The 26,607-nt window shown below is 36.0% G+C and overlaps 1 protein-coding gene across 14 annotated transcripts in view; it reads left to right on the forward strand.

The window, feature by feature from the left end:
* Positions 1-26,607, forward strand: part of CDIN1 (CDAN1 interacting nuclease 1) — a 230,619-nt gene that overhangs the window by 142,915 nt on the left and 61,097 nt on the right. The window contains exon 11 of one of the 14 annotated variants that reach the window (NM_001290233.2): positions 24,395-24,701. The exons of the other annotated variants lie outside the window; for them this stretch is intronic. Coding sequence (NP_001277162.1) covers positions 24,395-24,539 — 145 coding nt within the window. The 3' untranslated portion in view covers positions 24,540-24,701. Of the gene's footprint in view, positions 1-24,394; positions 24,702-26,607 lie in introns of those variants that run through there. 14 annotated transcript variants of the gene reach the window in all.

Below are 26,607 nucleotides of genomic sequence, written 5' to 3' on the forward strand. Positions count from 1 at the left end.
TAAAATAAAGCAGGCCATATTTTGGTGAGACAGAGCCCTGTTCACAGCAGCTATGCTTTTTCATTTCCTCTGCCTTTAAGGAGCATATGTTCCCATTTCCAAGCATCTTCTGATGTTTTGTATCATTCAGGTATCTCCTGGAATGGATAATGTATAAGTGATGAGGCTACATTGCCCTGGTTTGCCTGTGCTCATTCTCTTCTCACATATGTGGAATATGGAAAATGAGTCATGAATGCAATTCGCATGTCTCGTACTCTTCTCATAAAACAGAAATCTTCATGGATACGTAATGGCAATGGTGAACATTCTTTCATTCTAATTTCTAATTGACTCTGGAAGTCAAATTCTTATAAAAATTAAATTTCTCCTATGAATTCCCTTTATTCATTAACACAAGTCAATTACATTCACTTGTGTGTGTGTGTGTGTGTGTGTGTGTGTGTTTCTCTCTCCCTTACATTCTTCCAATCTACTCTTAAGATCTGTGTGAATTCTATTCTCTTAATTTTCTTCCTTTTCTATCTGAATCCCTGACATTGAGATATTTCTTGTGTTTTGGTCACCTTTTCTCACACAGGATTGTACTAGCAAATTGTCTTGTTAACCCTTTCTTGCTTCTCTTTATATATTCCCTTTTGCTGTTTCCTTCCCATTTGTTGCTGGCAGCTTGCTAACCATTACCACCATTTTAAATTTAATCTTATAGCTGGTATTTCATTCCAAGTGATCATAAGTTAAAAACTAAAGCCAATTTTTTTTATTTAGTAAAGAGGATTTTTTTTTAGGATTCATCAACTCATATAAATAGGAGGCTATTTTAGTCATCTTTGATAACCAGCTGCAGTATTTTAAGAGTACTCCATATTGATTAAGAAGGTATTAAAAGTGAAGTCATTGGTTGTGTGCTAATGGCAGGTATATAAAGCCATATTGAACTCAACACTAGATTAAAATATTTGATGAGCCCTAATTACCTTTCATTGGTTTAATGTGAAGTATTTTTTACTACTTCATATTTCTTTTATTTATTTTTTATTTTAGAGACAAGGCTTCACTTTGTCAGCCAGGCTAGAATGAAGTGGGCACTCGTAGCTCACTGCAACCTTGAACTCCTGGTCTCAGGCGATCTTCCCACCTCTGTCTCCCAAAGTGCTGAGACTATAGGCATGGGCCACCATGGCTGGCCTGCTGTATTCCTAATGCAACAAGTTCTAGCAAACTGGCCCATCAGTAGTGGCATAGATATACAGTTAAATTCAGCTGATGTTCAATAAGTTACTTCTATGTAGAAATAGCATATTATATATTTCAGCGCATACAAAGGTGAGCAAAACTTAATCTTGCCTTCAGTGAATTTAATTCAAACTAATAGGGAAACAAAGATGTACATAGATCATAATAATAGCTAACACTGAACACCAATTATGTTCAAGGTGCTGGTTTAAGCACTTACATGTATTTTCCACTCTAATCCACATAACAGTCCTATGAGGTAAATGCTAGTATTTTATCTCTGTTTCATATGAGAAAGTTGAGCTATGAAGAGGTTAAGTGCCCAAATCAAGGTCACAGAGCTAGAAAGCCAGTGGAGTTTTTTGAATAGAAGAGTGACGTGATTAGGACCTAACTTTAGGATGGATATTCTGGTAGCAGTGCTTAGATTGAATAGAAACAAGAATTTGGAAATAGGGACACTATTGCTATTAGTCATCCATATTGAAATAATCCATTAATTCCCCAATTATAGTGGTAGTAGTGGAAATGGAAGGGGACCGTATAGACTTGTAGAGATTATAAAGACAGGATTCACAGAATTTGTCAAGTAATGCCGACATTCAATACATCAGTAAAAGTGTTGCTGTATTAAGTGGTTTAGAATAGAGATAACTTTGAGGTTTTAATATTGGTGGTGGCAAAATAATGATGCTATTAAAGAATTGGGAATAGAAAGTAATGTAGGTTAGCAATAGCTTCAGTTGGGATGTTTAGAGATGTCCAAAGGCAACTGGGCTGTGGGAGAGGAATGTGAGTGATGGGTCAGAGATAGTTTGATTTAGGGATCATCCATGGTAGAAAGAGATTAAGTGGTTTTTCTCAGAGGGAGAGAATAGAAAAATGCCTCTTATAAACAGGGAAAGAAGACACTTGTGACATGACATCATAATAAAGTTTAGAGAACTGATTAACAATAATTATGACTCATAGCAAATTAAATTATTTCTAAATTTACCGACTCCCACCCTTCATCTCTTGCATTTGAACATTTATAAAGTAATTTTAGTCTGGTTGCACTGAATCTGATTATTCAGGGTATTGATAGTTAACCTCACATCAGTTTCTACCATGAGTTATGTGGGTTTAGAAAGTTGTACCAAAATGTACGAACCTAGGGCTTTTAACAATCACACTTGAAAGAAACCTTGGGAGTTGCATTTGTCAAGCAGCTAGGAAAACCATTCATGCATACCCCACATCCAAAGCTCCATCGGCAGCCCAAACATAAAGAACTGAAAGGTCATTCTTCTTCCTGCAATGTGATGGCTTGTTGACGTATTTTGACACAACGGTACAATGCTGAAAGGGTCTGACCTTCCTGCAACACCGAGGGACTCAGGTTTGGTCAGGATACCTGACACTCATTGCATTTCTCTCCTTGCCTTCCTTCTCCTTCACAGATAAACACACTCCTCAAACACAAAGTGCTGCCCTCAGTACAGAAATATTAAATCATTTAAATAGATATAAATGATTGCTTTTTACATTTCTCTTGCCTCTTTTTTTTTTTTTTTTCCAGTTACCATCAAGCTGAAACCCTTACTTGGAACTATTAATGCTTTTAATTAAAAAATAAAATTAGTTTTTCAAAATGACAAATGTGAATGGAGATTGTTAATAGCTGGAAAGAGAAAAACTAAACAAATGAGGAGGTCTGTGTGCTATCTTATGTTTTATAGTCTATCTTTTTGATAGAAACCAATTTATTGGAATTCAGAAGTTTGAGGATTACTTCTGAAGTGCAAGATTAATGTACATAAAGGTAAATTGTAGATAAATTGAAGTAATTATCTCCTGTGTACATAATGTGTTAAAAGGTTGAAGAGTTAGTTGGAGGCAAGAGAACTATCAAGAGGATTTTCTGCCATTTATAAATTGATGTTCTATGTTAGATTTATCTACTGTGAAGTGGGGCTTTGACTGGTTATCCATATTATTTTTTAATTTAGTATATCATGGTGGCATGGAGAGGGGAAGAAAAATGTGTACTATTAATGAATTTCTATAAATATAAAAGTAATAACCTAAGTGCTTTAAAAAAAAATACTCTTTTTAATGAGAAGCAGCTATTCAGGAAGATTTTCATGCTGTCTCCACAGCTAATAAATATAAAATAATTGCAATAATATTCTCCGAGCATTTAGATTGCACTTTGCAAAGTGTGGAAAGTTTACATATTTGTCATAATATTGGAAAAAGGAGTATTCAAGTATTTCAGTGGTTTTGTTTCCAAATGTGATAACTGTCTACTAAATGAAATTAAGATACTTTTGTCCAAGGTAAATATTTTAATGGCATACCCAAAATTAGGACTGAAATTTTGAAGTATTTGTTTTAGCTCTTCACCTGTTTTACTCATATCACTGCACTTTTCAGTAACCCCTAGACATCATACATCTTTGTTTGAATCATTTCTCTTCCTATTTTCTCCACCATTTCAAATGGTGTCATGTCACTGGGAGCTAATGCCCACTATCAGCTGAGCACATTCAGCTTCTGTCTACATTACCACTCGGCTTCAGTTCCAATTTCCTGGTATTCCTCATTCAGATCAGACCTCTTAGATGGTGTGCTATGAGAACTGACAGCCCCCCATCCTGCTCTGCTTGCCCAGGGCCTAGTCACACACACTCCACTGTGCCAAGCGTGGCCACCCCCACACACCTTTCTGTTCAGGATTTTGTATAACTTTTAATTGACATTTATGTCTGACATTGTAGATGTACTTCTCATTGTAGAACATTTATCTACATAGGAATAGTTGAAAACTGCTTTTCACTTAACTATTACATGGATTAATGTTACTTAACAATGACAGGTTTCCCTGCTGAAACTCAAGTGGGCAGATAGTTTCTTGTTTCTAACCATTCTCCATCTAACATTGCAACCCACCACTCAGCACTATTCTCACTAATTGCTTGAGTATACAGCAAATCCATTTGAAATGATAGAGAGAGGGTTAAGTCCTGAGTACAGTATAAACTGTAGTAGAGCCCAGTATAAGGCATTTTTTTTTCTATATATGAAACAATCTTTTAACAGGGTTTATCAGCGACTTAATTTCTATACATATCTTTCCTCTAAATTCACCCCAGCTACACAAGTATAAATTTACCCAATTGTTTCTAATATAATGGCATTCTATATATATCTTTCCCTCTGAAAGCACAGAACAAAGTTCTGTTGTTTTGCCAGGTTCCTGGCCTTCTTTTATAAATTCTTAGTAAAATTTCTTTCATTGTGGTGAGAAAAAAATATATTCTATCAATTATTTTAAAAAGCAATAATTCATTATAGTTGATCATAAATGTCAGGAAGCAAAGACCCAGCTGAAGCATTTTTGTCACTAATCATGCTGTTTTTCTTCTAATTAGTTAATTTACATTTTGCAAATTAAGGGTAAAATTCAGACAGAAGACAACATCATAGCTTTAACTGACCCATATTTGTATCTGCCAAATTTAAGTTAATTAGAAATGTAGACGCTGTTTATCTGTCAGAAAAGCTCATCTTTTTTCTTAAAAAAAAAAAAAAAAGAAAAAAGTAGACACACTTTTTCCCCCTCAGCATTTATCATCTAAATAATAGTCTTGCCAAGATGGCAGCCTCATAATAAACTCTTTTCAGTGGAGTGATGGGTAATGAAGCTTGCTTGTGAAGGCAGCGAAAAATGTTGTCTGGCCAAATGCATGAATATGATGGCTAGAGAATCAGTGGACTTTCTCAGTCATCAATCTTTTTAGTAGCCTCTTATACATCTGAATATTTTGATAGATGATCTAATAATTGAGTTATCTATCTTTCTAAATATCAGAGTTGCATAAAAATTATTCTCACATGCTACTGAATATTAAATATATTAGGCATCCAGTAAATTTTTCATAAAAGGGCCAAAAGGTGAAACATTGTTGTTATTCTATAAATATCTTTTAATATATTGAGTGTTGAGCCCTCTGACATATCCAGCTCTTAACTCTCTCTGTGAGAAGTAGGTATATATTTTAAAAAGAGAACATACCTATTATAAGTAGGACACGTAATACTTTGGCCGGTAAAAAGTAGACCCTGGTACATGTGTAGATACAACTCAGTATTGTAAAATGGAATACACTTGTTGGTCTAACACCAGCCACACATTTAATATGACACAAATTTTCCATACAAGAAGCACAGATTATATGCATGCTAAGAATTACTGTATGGCTTTGGTGTCTCCATGATTTTGAGAGGAAGATGATCCTACCAAAAGGAAAAACAAAGCTCCCAAGTATTCTTATGATACACAGGTAGTTCTTTCCCCTCATATGGCTTTGTATGTGGAGGGAGGAATTGTTTTTGTTTTTTTGTTTTTTGTCATGCATCACTCTATTAAAAGCTTATCAACAAGTATGCTTCACTGGAATTGAAAAAGTGACAAGGAAAATTGGCAGGAAACAGATGACTTAGAAGTGGGCTTCTCCCACCCCCCTACCATTCACAGTTCTTCAAGGTGACCTTACAGTGATGACTTCCCAGTAACCAACATTAAAATAGTTCTGCCCTGGAAGAGCAGACATTTGTTTGTGGGTCTGACGGGTTACCAATCCTCTGCATCTTGAAAGGCACTCAAATGAGCAGGGCCTTGTAAATTGGATTTCTATTAGCCAGCCCTGATGATAGCTCTTCATCAGAGGAATGGGAGGAAGTGCTATCGATAGCTCCACCTCTAAATATCTTTGCTTGTTTTTCTTCCTTTTTTTTTTTTTTTTTAAATGCCACGCTTATTTTTGGTCTCTCTCATCCAAAATGGTAATGAATGCTAAAATTACCAGAAATAATTGCCTTTGAGGTTTTAAATAAGCCTTAAAATGTGAAAAAAATTTTTTTTTCTTCTTACGACGAAGTGTTGCTCTGTCACCAGACTGGAGTGCAGTGGCACAATCTCGGCTCACTGCAACCTGCACCTCCCAGGTACAAGCAATTCCCCTGCCTCAGCCTCCCGAGTAGCTGGGACTATAGACGCGTGCCACCACGTTCAGCTAATTTTTTCTATTTTAGTAGAGACGGGGTTTCACCATGTTAGCCAGGATGATCTCAGTCTCCTGACCTCAGGTGATCCTCCTGCCTCAGCCTCCCAAAGTGCTCAGATAACAGGCGTGAGCCACCACGCCTAGCCAAACAATTATTTTTTAATGGTTTTCAACTGGAAAAGCATTTGGAATGAAAATCAGCAACACAATGGCCAGAAACAAAAATGGCAAAAATGTCTTAAACCTTGTTTTCTATTTAATTCCTAACAATGATTTCATCTTACGGTTGTGCTATTTATAAAATTTGAGATGATAGACTTTTTTCTCTTTATTTTTCTGGATTGAAAATAATAATTCAGGACAGTACCAATTGTGGAAATATCTCTGTGGGTTACACTGAGGAACTAGTACTTTCTAGTAGGTGGATCTTTTCTTGGTTTCGAGACTCTCCATAATTTGGTTGGAAAAAAATGATATTTTATTGTAAGAGCTATCACTGAGAATTTTAAATTCTTAGATATCTATTTAAAATTATACATTTAAAACCATTTGAAATGTCCATATTGGGGAGGTTTTAGGGGAGGGAATAGTCTTTTCTTAATCAAAGTAGCAAACATCTGTGTTCTTTCTAGCCTGTCTTTTGATTAGCATGGCCTCATCCATCACTGGTCTTTGATATGAACACCAAGAAGTCGTGTCCTTTTGTTTTAAATGATAAATATGCCTTTGTCATGAATACTCATAGGCAACCCAGGATTTACATCTGAATTGTCAAAGTGTAACTGCCCAGCTCCTGTGATGAGTGACATTATTAGTGAAATAAAGAAGTTTTTAATTTGTCATGGATAGGCCTTAATGAGACTATGTGGGTTGTGGTGCTAGAAAAAGTTGTCCTTCCCCCACTATTTTTCTAAGATTTGTCATTTATCAACAAGAGGCAATCTGCCGCAGGAGGTTCTCTGTGAACATTTTTACTTTAGTGCCATTAGTCTGTCTCTAGGTTTCATTATTTAGGCTAGATGACTGGTAGTACTTATCAAAACTAATGCTATCTGAAGTACCCAGGCTCCTGTTGGTCAAACAACCAGCATCATGATTTGTTCTGTCAAGTTATTATTATCAAAGACAGTGTTTTTTTAAACTTTAGCTTTATTTCAAGGTCTATGTCAATTATATTTTCTAAATACATTTCTTTGACATCTTTGTTCCCACTAACCCACATCTACTCACATGTATTTATGTATGTGCTATTTATATAAATACATTGACCTATTCATATCTACCTATACAATTTCATGTTAATCATCAAAACCCTCAGGGTGTCCAATTTAACTGTTGTATTTGACTCTTCAACTAAGAAATTAGGACCATTAAAATTAAAAATATTGTGAAGTCTTGATCTTCACTTGTCTGCAATTTAATAGATTACAGCTTTCATATATTTGCTTTATTTGTTCCTACACTATTAATAGACAAATAGTTTGATAATTTTAAAGTGTCTTGTGATAAATGTTTCATGTTGGTAATAAGTGGTTTATTCTAATTTTATGTATACAGAGTATCCTGTGAAGATTTGGTATTTTAACAAGTAACTTTTAACAGAAATTGCATTACCTTCTACATGATTTGTCTTTATAATTTCAATACAACTGTTTTAAAAGTAGGCAGAGTAAGAGTGTTCAATCTCTTTTTCAACTGAATTGACCGGTGAATTAACCAAAACAACCTTTAATTTAGCATGTTGGGAATTTACATGAAAGTTAAGCTATATATTTTAGTTTGATTTAGCATCTCTCCATAAAAATCATTAAAATGGTTCAATCAGTATAAAAGCCTCACTTAAATTATATTGTATTTCAGGTCATATCCCTCACCCCACAAATGTATTAATCTTTGATTTTCAGTTTTGATTGTTTCAAAACTAAACTTTAGCACTCATTTTTTGAACAATATTTCTTGAGTGCCAAAAATATATATTTTAAGGCAAAAAAATACATGATTAACCCTTATTATCAGGCTTGCTCATCGAATTCTTTTTTCTAATTTTTAGTATTTCCTAAATCACCTGTTTCATAGAAAATGAAGTCTTGTTCATATTTGTTTCCCAAAAGAAAACAAACGCCTGGCAACTCTAAAGCCCAACCCCTTACATTAATGGAGATTTTTGTACTGTAATGTAAGTGTCTGAGTTTTTGAGACCCTAAGGCTTTCACCCAACTTAAAGACAATGATGCCAGTGAGCTTCTGTCCAGAGTTAATCAGCTGCAGAATTTGTAAACTGCACATGTGTCAAAGTTGAAAATGTTAGCACTCTAATAGAAGCTTGAAAAGGTTAGATCTGATAAAAGCCATCAGCAGTTAAAGAAAGTGATTTATGGGAATGTAATGACACAAAATGCCTCATTTATCACTCATATATAGATAGGTTAAGCTTCCTGTGTCATACTTTTAAAAACTTGACCACTTCGAATTGTCAAAATAGGTACTTAATTGCCCTTCATCCTTTTCATTTTGAATTTATTTCATTTGAAATTGGTAATTTCATCTACGATTACTTTACTGTCATTCACTTCATATGGTTCCATTTAAAGTCATTCATATTTAAGATTTTCAAAAACTGCATCACCGATCTTTTTGAAGTTTTATTAGCTAAAGCTGTTGCAAAGAAAGATTAAGCCAGTCTTATATATGCTAATTTACACTTTTATGTAACACAAATACCATGGAGATATGTTCAAGTTTCATTTTCTCTTTCCTAACACTTGTAATTTTCATCAGCATTTTCTAATCCTCTGAATATTCTATATATCTCTCTTAAAAAGTGCACCACAAGATGTTAAAAGACAGAGCCATCAATTGGTTTACCATCCTAATAACTCAACTTAATATTTAAGCTCCACACAAATTAAATTTAATGAAAACCTGCCTGTCTGGCTAAATGATCCCTAAAAATGGGGGCAAAAGCCAAAGTTAAGAGACATGCCAAATTGTATTTCTTTCCCAGGATTATTAAAAAACAATTCTCAATTATTTCTTATACATTCTAAGGAAGATATTTATAAACTTGGGATTTCTAAACATTTATTGGCTTATTTGATGTCATTTAGTTTATGCATAAATATCTTAATGCTATTAAATAAAAACTATTTTACAAACTTCGTTACGTCACAGTAGTATTGTAAAACACAAAATTTTATGAATGATTATCACAGTTTTAGACTCCTTAATGTGACAGGTAGACTTGCTGAAGGGCTTCATGGAGATCTTTCAGAACATGAAGTAGGCAGAAATGTCCCAGGACTTCCTTTGCCCCTCTATAGCCAAAAAATAAATTTGAGAAGTTTGGCAGGTTTCACTTTGTCAGCCCAATGCTGCACTTTCTTCAACAGTGACGTTCCAAATTCAATTGAAAAAGAAGTCAGAACAGTTTCTTCAACAAGACAAAGGCACAAAAAAAATTTACAGGGAAAGGGAGGAACTGTACTAGGAAAAAAACTTAAGAGACATCCTAACCAAATGCAGTTGATCCTGTTTGTTGCACCTTGATTCCATCAGACTACAAAAAAAAAATCACATTTTTTAGATAGTCATTGAAAGTTGAATATGAATTATTGTGAATTCTTAACACCTAGAAATTATTAATTTTCTTAGGCATGACAATGCCATTGTGGCATTATGTATGAAATTGTGTCAAAAAATGTCCTTTCTTTGAAAAAGAGATACATACAAAAATATGTAAGGGTAGATTGAGTTGGTGTCTGAGATTTCCTCTAAATATTTCAATAAAATAAATATATAAGTTCATAGGGAAAGAAAGATTTAAAGAGGGATATAGAATCTGGAAGATGGATATCTGAGGTGAGGGATCTCTCTGCTTTGTATACATTGAAATTGTTTGCAAAAAATAAAAAAAGTCAGGGGAATTATCTAAAAGTACCATTTTAAATATAAAATTATAACATCCTATATTTTCTAGTATTTTCTTATCACCAGTATAAGTTTTTAAGTCATAAGATATAACCTAAACCTTTTTTAATCTCCAAAGTTTATTCAAAAAATCATCTAATTGGCCACTACCAAATCCATTTACAATATTTTAACCCAGTAGCAAACCCAGTATTTTTTAAATAAAGAAAATGGGTAAGAAATTCTGAACATTTATTCAAAATATGACAGAAACTTATTAGCATACTTCTTTGTGCTCTGAAAAGTGTTTAATTCCTAAATAGTAGCACAAATCATTTTTTTGTTTAAAATGATTGTTGATGTATAACTTCAGCCTTATGTTTCTGGCAAATGAATTAGAGAGTTTATAAATCTTATATTTTAAGCTTTGTTTTTTATCACTGTTTACAAAAGCATTTTCTTGAGTTACAGATATAATTTCCCAACTTAAGGACTATTAAACTAAATGTATTTCTAGATGCATCTTTGTTCAGACATTTTATATACATATATACATTTAAATTAAAATCTTGATTTTTTTGTATGATTTTTAAAACCTGCATTTACTTGGCACTTTAAGCACATATGCAGTATTTTCATCTTTAAGCAACAACAAGAAAACCTGAAAATCTGAGACTCTCAGAATATACATTGATTTGGAGAAAATGTGTTCTTAATATGAATTTATCATTTACTCAACTTATATTAAAGGTTAGTTAGCCAAATGTATTGTATTTTTTTTTCCTTTTTGTGAATCGTGTACATACATTAAGACAATACAAGAAGAACCATTTCAGCTTAACCTTCCAGAGATTAATCATTTAGTTTGAAGGAGTTCTGTTGTTATTTTTTAAATCTGTGATTAGAAAAAATCATGTGTTTATATAATCATGGGCATCAAAATTGTCTCAATCTATGAATCTTAGCAGTTTGCTCTTGTAACAACTATGAGGAAATGTATTAGAATGCCTTAATTACAGAGCAAGAAAAAGAGAAGGCACAGTCTTTTCGCATATGATCTTTCAATTGTTCAGCAAAGGATAAAGAAGGCATTCAAGCGTGGTTTCAAGAACTGTCAGCAATAAGAAAATGCAAGGTACTTTGTAGGGCCTTCAAGACCTTTCTGGAAAATAGATTTAATTAAAAAGTAAAATAGACTTTTCAAAGAAATCTTAAAAATGTTATAAAACTTCATGTTAATATATTAATAGGGGTATTGTCTTCTTATCCTAGATGAGAAAAAGTCATCCATGAAGCTATTATATTTGATTCATACAACAGTGGAGCTTATAAATATTTTTCTTTAGGTTTGATTTAAGAGTGAGAATTATAATGCATTGAAGTATATAACAGTGTTAAAAGGCCTACTCTTTTTGATTCACAGATGGTGATTCAATCTCACCCGTAAAGTAGGAACATCTATAGTAGTCTTCCCCCTCCTAAAAGGAGTCCTTTTACCCAAATTAAAGTTTAAAATGATCAGAAATATCAGTGCATATGCTGTTTGTTTTAATTAACATGTTCATGTACACTTTGTTCATCCTTAGAACAATACTAATACTATGTAGTCGGGTATAAGAATTCCAGAGGTACTTTATTCCTTCCCTAGTTACTTTAACTTTTATAATTTTTTTTTTTAAAAAAAGCTCATTTATTTTCCACTGAGTTCAGTCCTAAAGCTTAATTAACAGTATATCTCCAAGCTGAATTACAGCAGAGAAGGTTAACCTGACTCTGTGCTAAGTAGCTGTTTATAAATAACCCAAGTTTGTTCTTCTAGAGCTTCAGAGCTTACATCGTCACCTCAGCCTGCCTAGCCTGTCTCAGGGTTTGGAGAGCCAGTCTGCTCTCATCCAAGCACACACACATCAGTATTTACTGGCTATTACCAGACACCAAATATATTCATGTTTAAATTGTCTTTGTTTTAGGACACTTCATTCAAAAACAAATCAATCTCAGAAGGTTGTGTTTTTAAGTAATTACTCTTTCATTGAGAATCTGTTTCTGGGCCAGTGTTGCTATTTTTCCAACTAGTCAATGATCAATGTATTCACTGTTCAATGTAAATAAATAAATAAGGATTAATTTGGCAGTGTACTTAAAGGCCTTATTAAAATCTCCTGTGTCTAGACTTCCATTTAAAATGACACTAGTGAACACTAGATACATAGTACAGGGACTTGTTTCCAGTTTAGCTCACACAGGGATGTAGCCACTAAAAATGTCTGCTCTATATTTCCATTAACTTGAGTTTCTCAGTTTAAATTATTATTCTGCAAAAGATACTGCAAACTACTTTGTTCCTAAATAGTCATTCAGTGGATTGAATAATACTTGAAGATTTGTTGCATTTTGACTGTAGGAAAAATAATGCCTCTGTGTGATAATGAGTATATGATTTGCATGTGTGTTGTATAATTTACAATATACATATGCATTCATCATGTTATTCTTTCAATATGATGAATTACGTCAGTTTATTGCATATGTCTGCATGTACCTCATCTCTTAATTAAAGCATTAATCACTAAAATTACCAGAAATACATAGTTTTAGTGTAAAATTTAATGTTGATCTTTGCATAGTAATACACATATTATTTCTAATTGGTAGACTATACTAAGACATTTTAAGTAAGGATTTCCCTATTATCATTCTATCATATCAGTTATTTTAAATATGCTTATCTTAATATATACTTACACTTTTTAACCATTTTAAATCATTTTTATTTGAGATTAATTTCCTAAATCACTAAAATTACCAAAGACATACATATGTGCATATATATGCATATTATGTGATCAACTTTAAAATTTAAAAACTGTATATAGTCTTATTGCACTTTTAAAATTTAAAGTTGATCTTTGCATTATTCATACACATTATTTCTAATTGGTAGACTGTAAGATAAGTGAAGATTCTATATTATGCTTTTATCATATCAAATTTATATATGTGATCTTAATATATACTTGCTACACACTTTAATAATTGTGTTGTTTAATAATTTTTTTCCACTTGGGATTAATTATATTTGAGTTTAATTTCCCAGCACTTAATATTAATTCATTTGCAAGTAATAAACATTTGCTAATCATGCAGTTCAATCCTTTAAAAGTCCACAGCTGCAGAACAGAATTAAAAATTGTAATGCTTAGAGGGAACTATTTGGGAAAAAAGTTACTATCTGGTCATAGGATTTAGTTGCTAAGAGTTTGGTGTTAAGAAGGAGGCACATGTAGCATCCTCCCCATTAGTTCATTTAACTTTTCTAAGAAAACAATTTTATTTGGTTACTCCTAAACAGTTTCTATAACTGTCCCCATTATCTACCTTCTTAGCCCAAGACCTTGCTCCAAGGCTTCTCTGAGAAGGTAGAGAACTCCCACATAGAACTGCTTTAAATCACCCCCATTTCTCTCTCTGTTTTTGCTTATTCTCTCCACTTGTCTCAAATGAAGGTGGCTTCTTATTACACTTCTTCCTTTCCTCAGTTTTCCCTCTTCCCTAGAATTGCATGGTTTGCCCTGTGCTTTGAAAATCTCCCTTGATTTACACTCTACAGCTACTGACTTACTCTCCTCTTCCCATTGTTGTCCAGTACCTTGATATTCTTTCATGCTGGTGGCCTCTACTCCCCAACCCACTTAATGGAAGAACTTGACATTCTCCCATGTTTGTTTCAAAGCCACATAGGCATGTGTCTACGAGATGCTGCTTTGATAATGAGTTGGTTATACTCCTGCATCCTACTCAATTGCATAAACATTCTCTAATTCCTAATGGAAAGGCTGAAGAACCTTAAGCCTACTCACTTGGACCTGCTGTTGATGAGTGCCTGGGATGCTGAGTTATTTCAGGGCTCTGCTGTTAATGTTCTAGCAGTATTACCCATCCAGATCTCTTTAAAATCTTGGTAAATAATGGCTGTCCATTGCCTGCAGAGGAAAGTCAGGCCTCTTGTCTTGAAGTACGTTTAAGGTCTTCCACAGTCTGACCTCCTCCTTTCCAGCCATATCCCAAGATGTTACTCCATACACTTCCCTACTTCTAGCCAAACAAATATGCCTCACACCCTTTTTAATCATTTAAAAATGCTTCACACTGGCCGGGCACAGTGGCTCATGTCTGTAATCCCAGCACTTTGGGAGGCTGAGGCGAGCGGATCACCTGAGGTCAGGAGTTCAAGACCAGCCTGGCCAACGTGGTGAAACCCCATCTCTACTAAAAAATACAAAAATTAGCCAGGCGTGGTGGCACACGCCTGTAATCCCAGCTACTTGGGAGGCTGAGGCAGAAGAATTGCTTGAACCCAGGAGGCAGAGGTTGCAGTGAGCTGAGATTGCACCACTGCACTCCAGCCTAGGCAACAGAGTGAGACCCGGTCTCAAAAAAAAAAAAAACAAAAATTGCTTCACACTGCCCTTTTGCATGCCTTTGCTCCTGCAGGTTCCAATACCTGGGTCGTTCCTATTTTTGCCTTTTATATCTGACCTCCCCTTCTGCTAAATTATTCAAATGAAGTGATTCATCTAGAATCTAGACTATAGGTAACAAATATTGCATTTGAGGCTAAAGTTATGTTAGGAGCATTTGGAAAATATTAACTAATCTGCATGTTGCCAGAGTGTGCCACCGTAATGTGACATGATAAAGAACTAGACCAGGAGGTTTCATTTGTGTGTGCCATTGCTGTGACAGGGACTACATGGAGTACTACCTCAAGAATTATGAGGCTTTTGTGGACAGCTGACTTCTGCTAGCTCCCTTTTCTCTGTCTCTCATATCCTGTCTCACTAATAGTCTGGGTCAATTAGTTACTGTCTAGCTAGTTACTGTCCAGTTAATGACTCTTCATCCTTATTAAGCAGTTATGGGATCAGATCACTGTACCGGCTGCTTATGAGTCAGAGGACAATCACTTAATCAGTTGGTTGTATCCCAAGAATGTAAAGTAATTTAACCCAAATAAGAATACTCATATACAGGGAAATGCCTGGAGCTGCTTTTTGTTTAGAAAAGACATCTGGGTGTGGGAGGTACATAGGGTGTCCTAGATTGTCACATAAACTCATACTTATTAATAAAGATAATATTGTTCAAGACTATATTTATGACCAAAATCACCAGGTCAGAACTCACCTTTACTTGACCTGTCCACAACATTTGACAAAGCTTACCGATGACTCCTTGAAACTTGACTTTATTTGGTTTATAGAGTACCACACCTTTTGGTTTTCTCCCAATCTTCGTAACCATTCCTTCTCAATCTCCATTCATGCTTCCTTCTCTTCTAACTGTTCTCTTTATGTTGGAGTGTCCCAGAGCTCAACATTTCATCCTCTTCTCTATTTTTTTGGCTTGGCGATTTCATCTAGTTTTATACCATCTGCGTGCTAATACTTCCGAAAGCTATGGGTCTATACTGAACCTCTCCCTGAACTTCAGGACCCATATATCCAGTTGCCCATTCAACACCTCTGCTTGAATATATGGCAGATATCTCAAATTCAGCGTAGCCATATCTGAATTCCAGATGTCCTTAAATGTTTTTCCCATCTCAGTTTTGACAATTCTGTCTTTCCATTTGCTTAGATGAACTACCTTGGAATCATTCTTGTTTCTCTGCCTCATATGCCACTTCTTGCAGTGGTTCCCTATGACCCAGAGTAAGAGCCAAAATCAGCCTTCATGGCCCTAGATCGTTCTGCCCCAGTTATTGTTCTGACCTCATCTCCTACCACACACTCCCCGCTTACCCACTCTGCAACAGCCATTCTGGCCTCTTTGCTCTTCCTCAAACTTGTCAAGTACGTTGCTGCCCCAGGCCTTTTGTGCTGACTCCCTGTTACATGAAGCACTGTCCTGAGGTACATACGTAGCTCACTGTCCAAAGTCAGACACATCACCACCTTCTCAGACCTAATCTGACCCCCCCAACAGCCTACAGCTTTCTTTTTTGTTCCATGTTTCTCCATAATCCTTACCTCCTAAAATGATCTATAATATCCCTCTGTTTTGTTTGCCCCACTAGGATAAAAGTTTCACAAGGACAGGGATTTTTGTCTGTTTTGTTTACCCCTGTATCACTAGGATTAAAGTAATAAGAGCCTATTATGTGCCAGGCACTGAATGGTTTATTTTGAATAGGCATAATGTATTTTTAAAATGTAAATATCATGTACCAATGTTAATAGCACAAACTGCTAATGTTACAACATTTGATGTTCCCAAAGTTTCTGAGACTTGGAAGGAATGTTACAAATCTAATATATATGCCATGGAAAATAAACAATCATCAGTCTTTGAGTTTTGCGGTTTGAAGAAAACAAGGCTGGGTGCAGTGGCTCATGCCTATAATCCCAACACTTTGGGAGGCCAAGGTGGGAAGCTGAATTGCAGCCAGGGATTTGAGACTAGCTGGGCAACATAGCAAGACCCTGTTTCAACAACAACAAAAAACAAAAACAAATTTAAAAAGCCAGACATAGTGGCATGTGCCTGTAGTTCCAGCTAGTTGGGAGACTGAGGTGGAAAGATCCCTTAAGCCCAGGAGTTTGAGCATACAGTGAACAGTGATGGTAACCCTGTACTGAAGCCTAGGCAATAGAGTGAAAGCCTGTCTCTAAATGCAAAACAAAACAAAACAAAACAAAACAAAACAAAAAACAAAGAAAAGACAGGCTGTCTCCTCTCTCCCTCGCTTTGGTTTTACTGGGAAGCCCACTGCAATTTCTGAGAGAAATAATACCAACTTAAAGAAAAATTATTGGTATTGTTTTATATGTTATCAGTATGTTTGGAGATCGTGTTACAATATACTTATAAAGCCATTTATAGGAAATGCACACTGTGACACGTATTTTAACCATTACTGGCAAGTATCAAACTTCAAAATTAATTATGCAAATATTCCAAATGTTAGCAAGTTTAAAGTAAAGCATGAGATGATGTCTTGGATCCAACTGAAAATAAGTATGTATTCTCCTATTACCATTTTGATTACTGAAAATTATACAAAAACCATGTTATTGAATTTAAAAGATCCACAGTGTTGGCCATCTCTGCACATATCACATCCAAAAAATTTGAAAAATTAGTATTCTGAATGAAATATACAAAGTTTTATTCTTTTTTTAAACTCTGATTGAATATGTATCTAAAATGTCATATTTACTACAGGAATCCACATTGCTTAGCAAAAACAACAAATTTATTTTGTACTGGAAAAGGGCTTGCCCGAAAGTTTCACTGAATATGGTTTGTTGAAAATGCTCTCCAAACAAAAGTTGGGGGGTTGAATAATTTTGGAAAATGTTGCCTACTACATTAGAATATTAACGGCTCTGAGAAATTCTGTGTCAAGGAAACATGTTTTCATTGTTTAAGCCTACATTTCTTAAACTTATTTGATGAAGGACCTCTTTTTTGCATCTAATACCTGTGTCCCCTTTGGAATGCCCTCTTGGACTCTCTTGTGTGGACGATAATCACATCAGTGGTGGGATATGAGTGAGGTAGATGTGGGGGGTGGGGAGTACCACTTTTAAGCTACGTAAGAGGAGATAGTAAATATACTTAGGCATCCTAACTAACCATACCTGTCATAACTGAAAAGCCCAAATGACATCACCTTAGATCCGAGATTATGCAGGGACCAGACAGATAACAGAAAGGAGTGGAAACTGTGGTGATACCGAGAGATGGTAGCACTTCTACGTGAAACAGCCCTGCTCAGCTCATCTCATGTGGCTATGGAGATATAATGGGCCCACTATGGTCAAATCTCGTAATTCTTCAAATCATGCTGAATATCAAAATTTTTATGGGCTGGGCGCAGTGGCTCACGCCTGTAATCCCAGCACTTTGGGAGGCTGAGGCAGGTGGATCACCCGAGGTCGGGAGTTCGAGACCAGCCTGACCAACACGGAGAAACCCCATCTCCCGTAAAAATACAAAAATCAGCCGGGCATGGTGGTGCATGCCTGTAATCCCGGTTATTCTGGAGGCTGAGGCAGGAGAATCGCTTGAACCCAGGAGGCGGAGGTTACGGTGAGCTGAGATCGCACCATTGCTCTCCAGCCTAGGCAACAAGAGCGAGACTCCATCTCAAAAAAAAAAAAAAATTATGTTTGCTCTCCTGCATTTCAATTTTTTTTTTATTTTTATTTATTTTGAGACAAGGTCTCACTCTCTCACCCAGGCTAAAGTGCAGTGGCACGATCATGGCTCACTGCAGCCTCTAGCTCCTGGGCTCAAGCAATCTTCCTACCTCAACATCCCAAGTAGCTGAGAATATAGGTGTGGACCACCACACCCAGCTTTTTTAAAGAATTTACTGTGATGGCCTGGGCTATCTCCTACACTTTAAATAGTGACAATTAATTCTGTAGTTTCAGGGCACTGAAGCAAAATATATCCCAGAACCACCCTGATGCATGACCTCTACTTTATGAGGAATTGGTACAGCAGCATAAAAAGGAGAGGCATATGGGGTAACCAGTGCACTCCTGCCAAATAATCAAACCCTGGTAGAAACAAAACAACTTTACCTTCCATATTTCCTAGACTGGAGTATTTCCAACTAGTTGTAAGTGTTTAAGTCTGAAAAACTTCAAAGACCAGTTGACATCATTGTCTTCATCAAATAATTATAATGACAATTTAATATTTGAAAAGCTTTTTTTTTTTTTTTTTAGTTTACAAAGTACTAGCATTGAAAAATAAAATGATGCTCTAGGGGTCCTAGTTTCCTAGGGTGGTCATAACAGAATACCACACAGACTGGGTGGCTTACAGGACGGAAATTTATTTTCTCACAGTTCTGGAGGCTGGAAGGCTGACATCAAAGTATCGGCAGGGCTGGTTCTTTCTGAGTGTCATGAGGAGAGGATTTGTCCCTAGCTTGTAGAAGGGCTTCTTCTTCCTGTGTCTTCACATCATCTTTCTTCTGTGATATCTGTGTCCAAGTTTCTTCTTCTTGTAAGGACATTAGTCATTCAATTAGGGACACCCTAATGACCTCATTGTAACTTAATTTCCTCTGTAAAGACCCTGTCCCCAAATACAGTCACATTTTGAAGTGCTGGAATTTAGGGCTTCAACATACAAAGTTTTTGGGAGGTACATAACACTAGGAAAGAACTTTGTGGAGTAAAACGAGGGCTGTCTCCGTGGTTTGGGTTTTGGTATTTTGGTTTATTTAAATACTTAAAAATCAGATTCAAAATCTTAACCATAATATTTTATACATAAGCCAGGAAAAGTTCCTTTGTGAACTGAAAATAAAAGCGTAGATGAAACCAATTATCCAAATAAAAGAGTAGATGGAACCAAATGTCCAAGTGTCCAGAGACCTACAAAAACTAGTGTGTATATGTGAGATACTAGGAAAGGAAGGATTGAAATTACAGGTCATTCATCTGGACCACCGTCAAAGACCCAACTAGACAAGACCAGCTGGAAGCCAATTTATATCTATAAATACATAAAATAGAGTATAAATGGAATAATATGTAAAATGAGATACGAACCCTTACTGTTAACATCAACATGTTCTAATGCATAAAAGTTCTTAGTAGTCTAAGCCTATGCAAAACAATTTTTTTTTGTTTTGCTTTTGTTTTCTCTTTAGTGTTTGTTCGTTAATACACAGGAAAACAAAAAATCAGTACATTGAGTTTTGATGGCCAACGAAGAAGGCAAAAATCAAACAGAATCTCAAATTCAACATTGATTATGTAAAATAAACTTTTTCAGGTCACCTTTATTTTGTGAACTGCTTTCTCACAATTTTCTTTATACCATCATAGATTTCTGAGACCCCAATGTGCTTGAGTTGAGACCTCCTTCTGGAGTCTTCCTGTTGTTGGTTTGCCTGTGTAGAATAAGTATTTCCAGATGCAGGCCAGTTTTCTTTCAAAACTGCAGCAGATTGCTGAAGTTCACTCATTCACACATTCATTCGTTTATTCATTAAACTGGTACCTTGTGCTGGGTACAGGGGTAGGCAATAAAGATAAAAGATAAGCATGGCCTCAAGCCTCAGTAAGCTCATGGTCTTGTAAAATAAACAAAAATGTTAACAAGGAATTTAGTATGTTAAGTACAGTAGCAACTGGCTTGGGTCCTCAGAATGGAAATAGTCATTCAAGCCAGAGGGAGTGGGAAGACCCATGAGTTGAGTCATAAGAAAAGCACAAAGGTTTTCTAGGTAACCTATTAAAAGGCAGACCAAATTACCTGGCATGAAAGTGGAGAAGTTTGAAAATAGATAGTATATTAAAGAAATGGTAAGTAACTTTGGTATTTCTGAAGTATCAACTGTGTGTCAGGATAGAGAAGATGATATTGGAGAAGTAAGACGAGCCAGGTCATGTAGGGGAAAAATCACTTCGGCAGTGGGAAGCCTTTGAAATATTTTAATTAGGGGAGTAGCATGATCATATTTTTATTTAGAAAGACTGTATGAGCAGCAATATGGGGAATAGATTGGAAAGGAAAGTCACTGAGAGTCAAATTTATTTAAGAAATAAGCAGTAGATAATCTTAGCAAAGTCATAGAGTAGGGTGCTTAGCCTAAACATAACCTGCTACCTGTACCAAAACACACAAAGATATTCTGTGTTCTGCAACATCTCTTTTCAGTATCAAGTCCCAACAGTGCAGTGCCCTCTTTTAATCTAATCAAATGCAATAATCAGAACTAATCCTAGTATCAGTGGATGCTGCAGTCAGGGTCCCTGCAACTTCTGATGCTTGAAACCCAGGTATGGAGTGAGTATTATATATACCCTCAGTGTTCCAAGGTGTAAAGAGAAACCATGAGGCAGGCCAGGTGCAGTGGCTCACACCTGTAATTCCAGCACTTTGGGAGGCTGAGGCAGGAGGGATGCTTGAGCCCAGGAGTTTGAGACGAGCCTGGGCAACATAGTGAAACCCCATCTCTACAAATAATAATATTAACTGAGCATGGTGATATGCGCATGTGGTCCTGGCTACTTGGGAGGCTGAGGTGGGAGGATCGCATGAGCCCTGGAGGTCGAGCCTGCAGTAAATCATGATCATGCCACTGCACTCCAGCCTGGGCAACAGAGGGAGAACCTATCTAAAACAAAATAAAACCAAAAAAAAACACGAGGCTGTCTGTAAACCCATTGACTTAAACATTTTATTCTTCATTCTAAAGACATTTTTTGTCTTTTTTTTTTTTTTTCTTAAAAAGTCTCTGAAAATTTTGGTTTTCTATTTCCCTGAAATTTACTAGACCTTCATGAAATGCATCACCAGATGACTGACTTTGCAAACATTTTTTTCTGTCCTTCCATTTTGTACAGAGGAATTCTGCAATGAGGGGACATAGCAAAAAAGGCCCACTTTCCTTGCAGGCTCTTCAGAGCAACATCTGCTTCAGTGGAGACAGCAACAGACTACTGAGTACTTCCCCCAGGCCTCTGGTCCATACCCACAGCCCTGTTATCCTGGTTTCTCCATAGGGGAGCAAATGTCAACCAGCCACATTAGCATCTTTTTTATGTTCATTAAGAAGCCAGAGGATTATTGGTTCTGAATATCTCTCTAGCTGCATCCTGGGATCTAGGTCTCCCTCAGCGTGGTCTGATTGCCCTTTCCAGTGTACCAAATTCACATAAACTCCTTGAGAGCAAGGGTAATATGTTCACTCATTAAGTTGGTACCTCTTGAGCGCCTACTATGTTCACCATTCTGGGAACCAGGAATGCAGAAATGAACAAGACAGATGTGGGCCCTATCCTTAGGGATCTCATACTGTGATGAGCAAGACAGAAAATAAACAAGGAAATGAATGAATACATTTTTTTTCAAATCATGATAACATGATTAGGGAAGGTTTTTCCAACCACCTGTGATAAAATAAATCTCTATAAATGTTTGAGTTGAATCTCATTTCACCAAATTGAATCGGACCCCCTCTGCACATCAAGCTCAGATGATAACTTTGAAAATGGCCTTCAACTATACTGCTGTTTTGTGTACAGCTCTAATTAGCCCATGTGTAATTTGAGACATTGAATGTTTTGGCTGTAGGACATCTCTGTGGCATGAAGTTTTTCTGATATATGGCCATTGACCTGAATACTGCCATGTCTAGCTTTCTACATCCCAGAAGCAGCTGAGTACCTGTAATATCATTATTTGCAATCACTTTTGTATACATCCATAAGTCAGGAAGCAGAAAGGGTGAATAAGTGGTGATGTTCTTATTGTCTGTATATTTGAGAGTATATGTATGAGCAGATTATGATAAATGCATCTTAATGGAAACCCAGCCAGGGTTATACATACAGTTTAAACATCAGAGGTTTCTGATAGATTATAATAAAACTAAAGGGAAAAAATTGCACTTTTCCAAGCATTTGTAGAGCTGTGATTCATTTTTACCATTAAAATATTTATATTAAGTTAAACACTTCATTTGTTATCAGCCCAGGACCCTATAAAAGATAATAAATTTGTCATTATTTTCCATTAAATTTCCACTCTTTGATAAGTACTGAACTTTTAAAGACATGATGCTGGCCAGAATGAACTTATTATATATATTTTTAAATTAACCATTTGTTCAACTTTGGTATATATTACATTCTGAATAATCTAATTCTGGTCTCATTATTATTTTAAACAACTATTACTTTCCAAAAATATGCATGGTTCACTGTAGAGAACTCTGAATGACAAGTCTGTTGAACTTTCAAAACAACTGTTAACTAGTCTTCTTCCTCATCTGTAATATTATTATATTATTGATATTGATTTTAGGCATCTATCAATAAATATGAATATATTACTTTTAGATACTCTTAGGGTGTAAGCATAGAATTGATTCATATCAGTTAAACTAACTCATTTAAGAATATTACTTATGAGGCCGGGTGCAGTGGCTCATGCCTGTAATCTCAGCACTTTGGGAGGCCGAGGCGAGTGAATCATCTGAAGTCAGGAGTTCAAGACCGGCCTGGCCAACATGGTGAAACCCTGTCTCTACTAAAAATGCAAAAATTAGCCAGGCGTGGGGGTGGATGCCTGTAATCCCAGCTACTCGGGAGGCTAAGGCAGGAGAATCGCTTGAACCCAGGAGTTAGAGGTTGCAATGAGCCGAGATCACGCCATTGCACTCCAGCCTGGGCGACAGAGTGAGACGCCATCTCCAAAAAAAAAGAATACTACTTATGAAAAATTGTTCAAATCATAGGACACAGAAATATATACAAAAAACAGTTTTTAGTACAATTAGAGCGAAAGGAACAGGATCCAGGTAAAGAAAAGCTTCCTGTGACACCACAGACTTCAGTGTCTCTGGGGCAGCGCTGATAGTTTTGTTGAGCAAATTGCTAACATAATTCATTTGATATGTGGCAGTATTATTAAGCTACCATGTAGAAGACCAATTAGAGGTGTTTGGTTTGTGGGGCTCTTTGCTTTTGGAAGTTTGTTTTGTTTGTCTGTATTGGGGAGTGGAAATAGTAGAGAGAAAGAGGAAGGAGGCCAAGTGGGAAGTTATTGCTGAAATACAAGTGCAAAATAGAAAAGGAACAAAAACAGATACATGGAAGTGGAGAAAATATATATGGGATATTAAGGACATGTATTGTCCTCTTCTGTTAAATTTAGGTTGGAAAGAAAGGTATTTATGATAGGAGTAGTTACATTCCTTATATTCAGTACCATTTAAATCATTTGCATTGTTTAGTGTCCAACTTATTTGCACCAGGAATTGAACTGAGTGCTTCTGAGTTCTGGTGTGCTATGTTCTCTGTTTTAATGCTTCATCTATTTCAAAAACAAAAACAAAACAAAACTGTTACCTGCATATCATACACGTATATGCATATCATATATAAATATATGGTTCCACACACACACACACACACACACACACACTGCTACTTTGTGAGTAAAAGAAAACAAGGTATCATTAAAAGTTGGAAACGTGTCTTTTTTTTTTTTTTTTTTTTTTTTTGAGACAGGGTCTCACTCTGTTGCCCAGGACTATGGCTCACTGCAGCATTCGCGTCCCCCTCTTCCAGGCTCAAGTGACCCTCCCACCTCAGTCTCCCAAGTAGCTGGGACTGCAGGTGCATGCCACCATGCCCAGCTAATTTTTCTATGTTTTGTAGAGATGGGATCTCACAATGTTCCTCAGGCTGGTGTGGAACTCCTGGGCTCAGCGATTCTTCTGCCTCAGCCACCCAAAGTGCTGGAATTACAGGAGCGAGGAAACATTTTCTACCAGGAATCTTTATGAAATGTGTTTGTAAATAACAAAAAACATTTTCAAATTGTTGGAAATTTCTCAGCAGTTAGTGCATTAAAAAAAAAAAAGTTTCAACCAGCATGTGTTTCCTCATCTTAAACAATAAGTAGCAATGTTTGGAAAATGTTTGTTATATTATCTCTCTAAATAAAAGTTGATAGTTCCCGTAACACTTGTAACAAACATTTCTGGGTGACAAAATAATTTGCCTTTCAGGTCATTCCCAAGTAAATTTATTTTTAAAGCATTTATTTGCAGCTGCAAGGGCTCCCAAAAAAAGGGCGGCTGTTGGACGGCTTCAGTTGGCCTAGAGTTTTCATTTATTCCATGCTCTTTTTTATAAGTGAACTTTTCTCAAAGTTGTGTTTCTTTTCTTAACTTTCATTCATAAAGGTAAGTGTCTTTATTTCCTTGAAAAGCTTTATGAGTGTATTTATTAGAATTAAGTGGTTTTCTTTAAAAAATCACAGACTTAGTCTTCTTAGAGCTAGCCAAGATCTCTCATAGATATAATCTAATTTCATGAGTGAAGAAACCAAGGCCCAGGGAGATTTAAGTCACTCAGTGTTGAACACTAATCAGTGGGTTGAGTAAAATCTTTAAAAACAGAAATGAATTAACATTTATGGTAGGAATTGTTTGAATTTCACAAGTACTTAGTATTATATAACTGCTGTCTACCACTTTGACATAGAGAACTCTTTGAATACCAAAACATTTTTCCTAATAATTAGTGGCAGCCAATAATATTATCAGACCCCCGAGCCAACCACATGCTGACCTAATACAAGACCTGAGGATTTTTCACTCTGAGTCTTGTTCCCTTGCTGCTACATAACACTACACTGTGAGTTAAAATCAGCTAATAAGGATTTTAAAAATTTAACCATGAAGGGAAATAGTCTAGAAGTTATTTAATCATTCGTTACAACCCAAGAAGCAATATAGCTGAGTAGAAAGGGCACAGGTCTGGGGGAGTGGCAGTGGGAAATAACTTTGGTTCTCATTTGGTCTCTCATTTGTATGACCTGGGGCAAATCTCTCAATTTCTCTCTCTTTTCTTACTCATCTGTAAAATGGGCACAATTTGGATTCTTGTAAAGTTTGAGTGAGCTTAGATATACATAGTGCCTGCCACATAATACACATTTGACAACAGGTAACTAGAAGTACTTGATGGAAAGTATCTGTAAGTAAACCAGTGTGTGCCAAGTTGAGGTAAATAGATACGGGATGAGATGTTTTGCAGTCATTGCCGGGTCTTAGTTTGTGACTTTGTTATAATTCTGTGCTGTGGCATAGATGCCATAGCCAGATGTCTCACTTTTCAGTGTGACACTGCTAAGAATCTGAACACTTCTGCAGGGCAGAAACCGGTGCACTAACAAACTGTCTCCTTGCCCAACAAAGTTTGCCTCCAGCAGAGGCCTTTTCATTTTCCTTTTTTTTTTTCCTCTCTCACAACAGCTGTTTCCCTGTTTTTGGAACCACATAGTGAATTCGGATTAGTAATTTCACTTTCCAAGGTCTCAGATACTTGAGAAGTTAGCAGATATTTTTTCCATTTTAGATTTAGGTACCAAAAAAGTAAAAACAAACAAACAAACAAAACGTGCAGCCATCAACTGGGGGGTACATTCACCACTTGGGATTATTTCAAAGCAAAAGTGCATTTACTAGATCTATGTGACTTCTGATTTGAGGGTCAGTTTTTTAAAAACATCACCAACCACAGACTTGTAAAGTTTGCAGAAACTGCCGACAGACCCAAAATGCTAAAGGTTGTAATCTCTTGAAAGGAGTTGGTTGATTTTCCTGTTGCCCCTCCTATCAACTTTAACCTCCAACCTTCTCCGGCATGTATCACTACAAATAAAACTGCTGAGGTTTGACAAGAGGATATAAAGTCAGTAGGCCATCGCACAGAGACGGCCACGTGATTTTCTTCAACCTGAAATGAATGCTCTTTAAGTTGGGCTTTTCAATAGGAAGTCATAAACACTCACTCGTATCGCTTTAAGTTTTAATAATTACTGTTCCAAAAAACCCCAGAAATATACATATTAAATGATGTTT

Source organism: Homo sapiens, chromosome 15 (assembly GCF_000001405.40).
Source record: "Homo sapiens chromosome 15, GRCh38.p14 Primary Assembly".
Classification (NCBI taxonomy): Eukaryota; Metazoa; Chordata; class Mammalia; order Primates; family Hominidae; genus Homo; species Homo sapiens.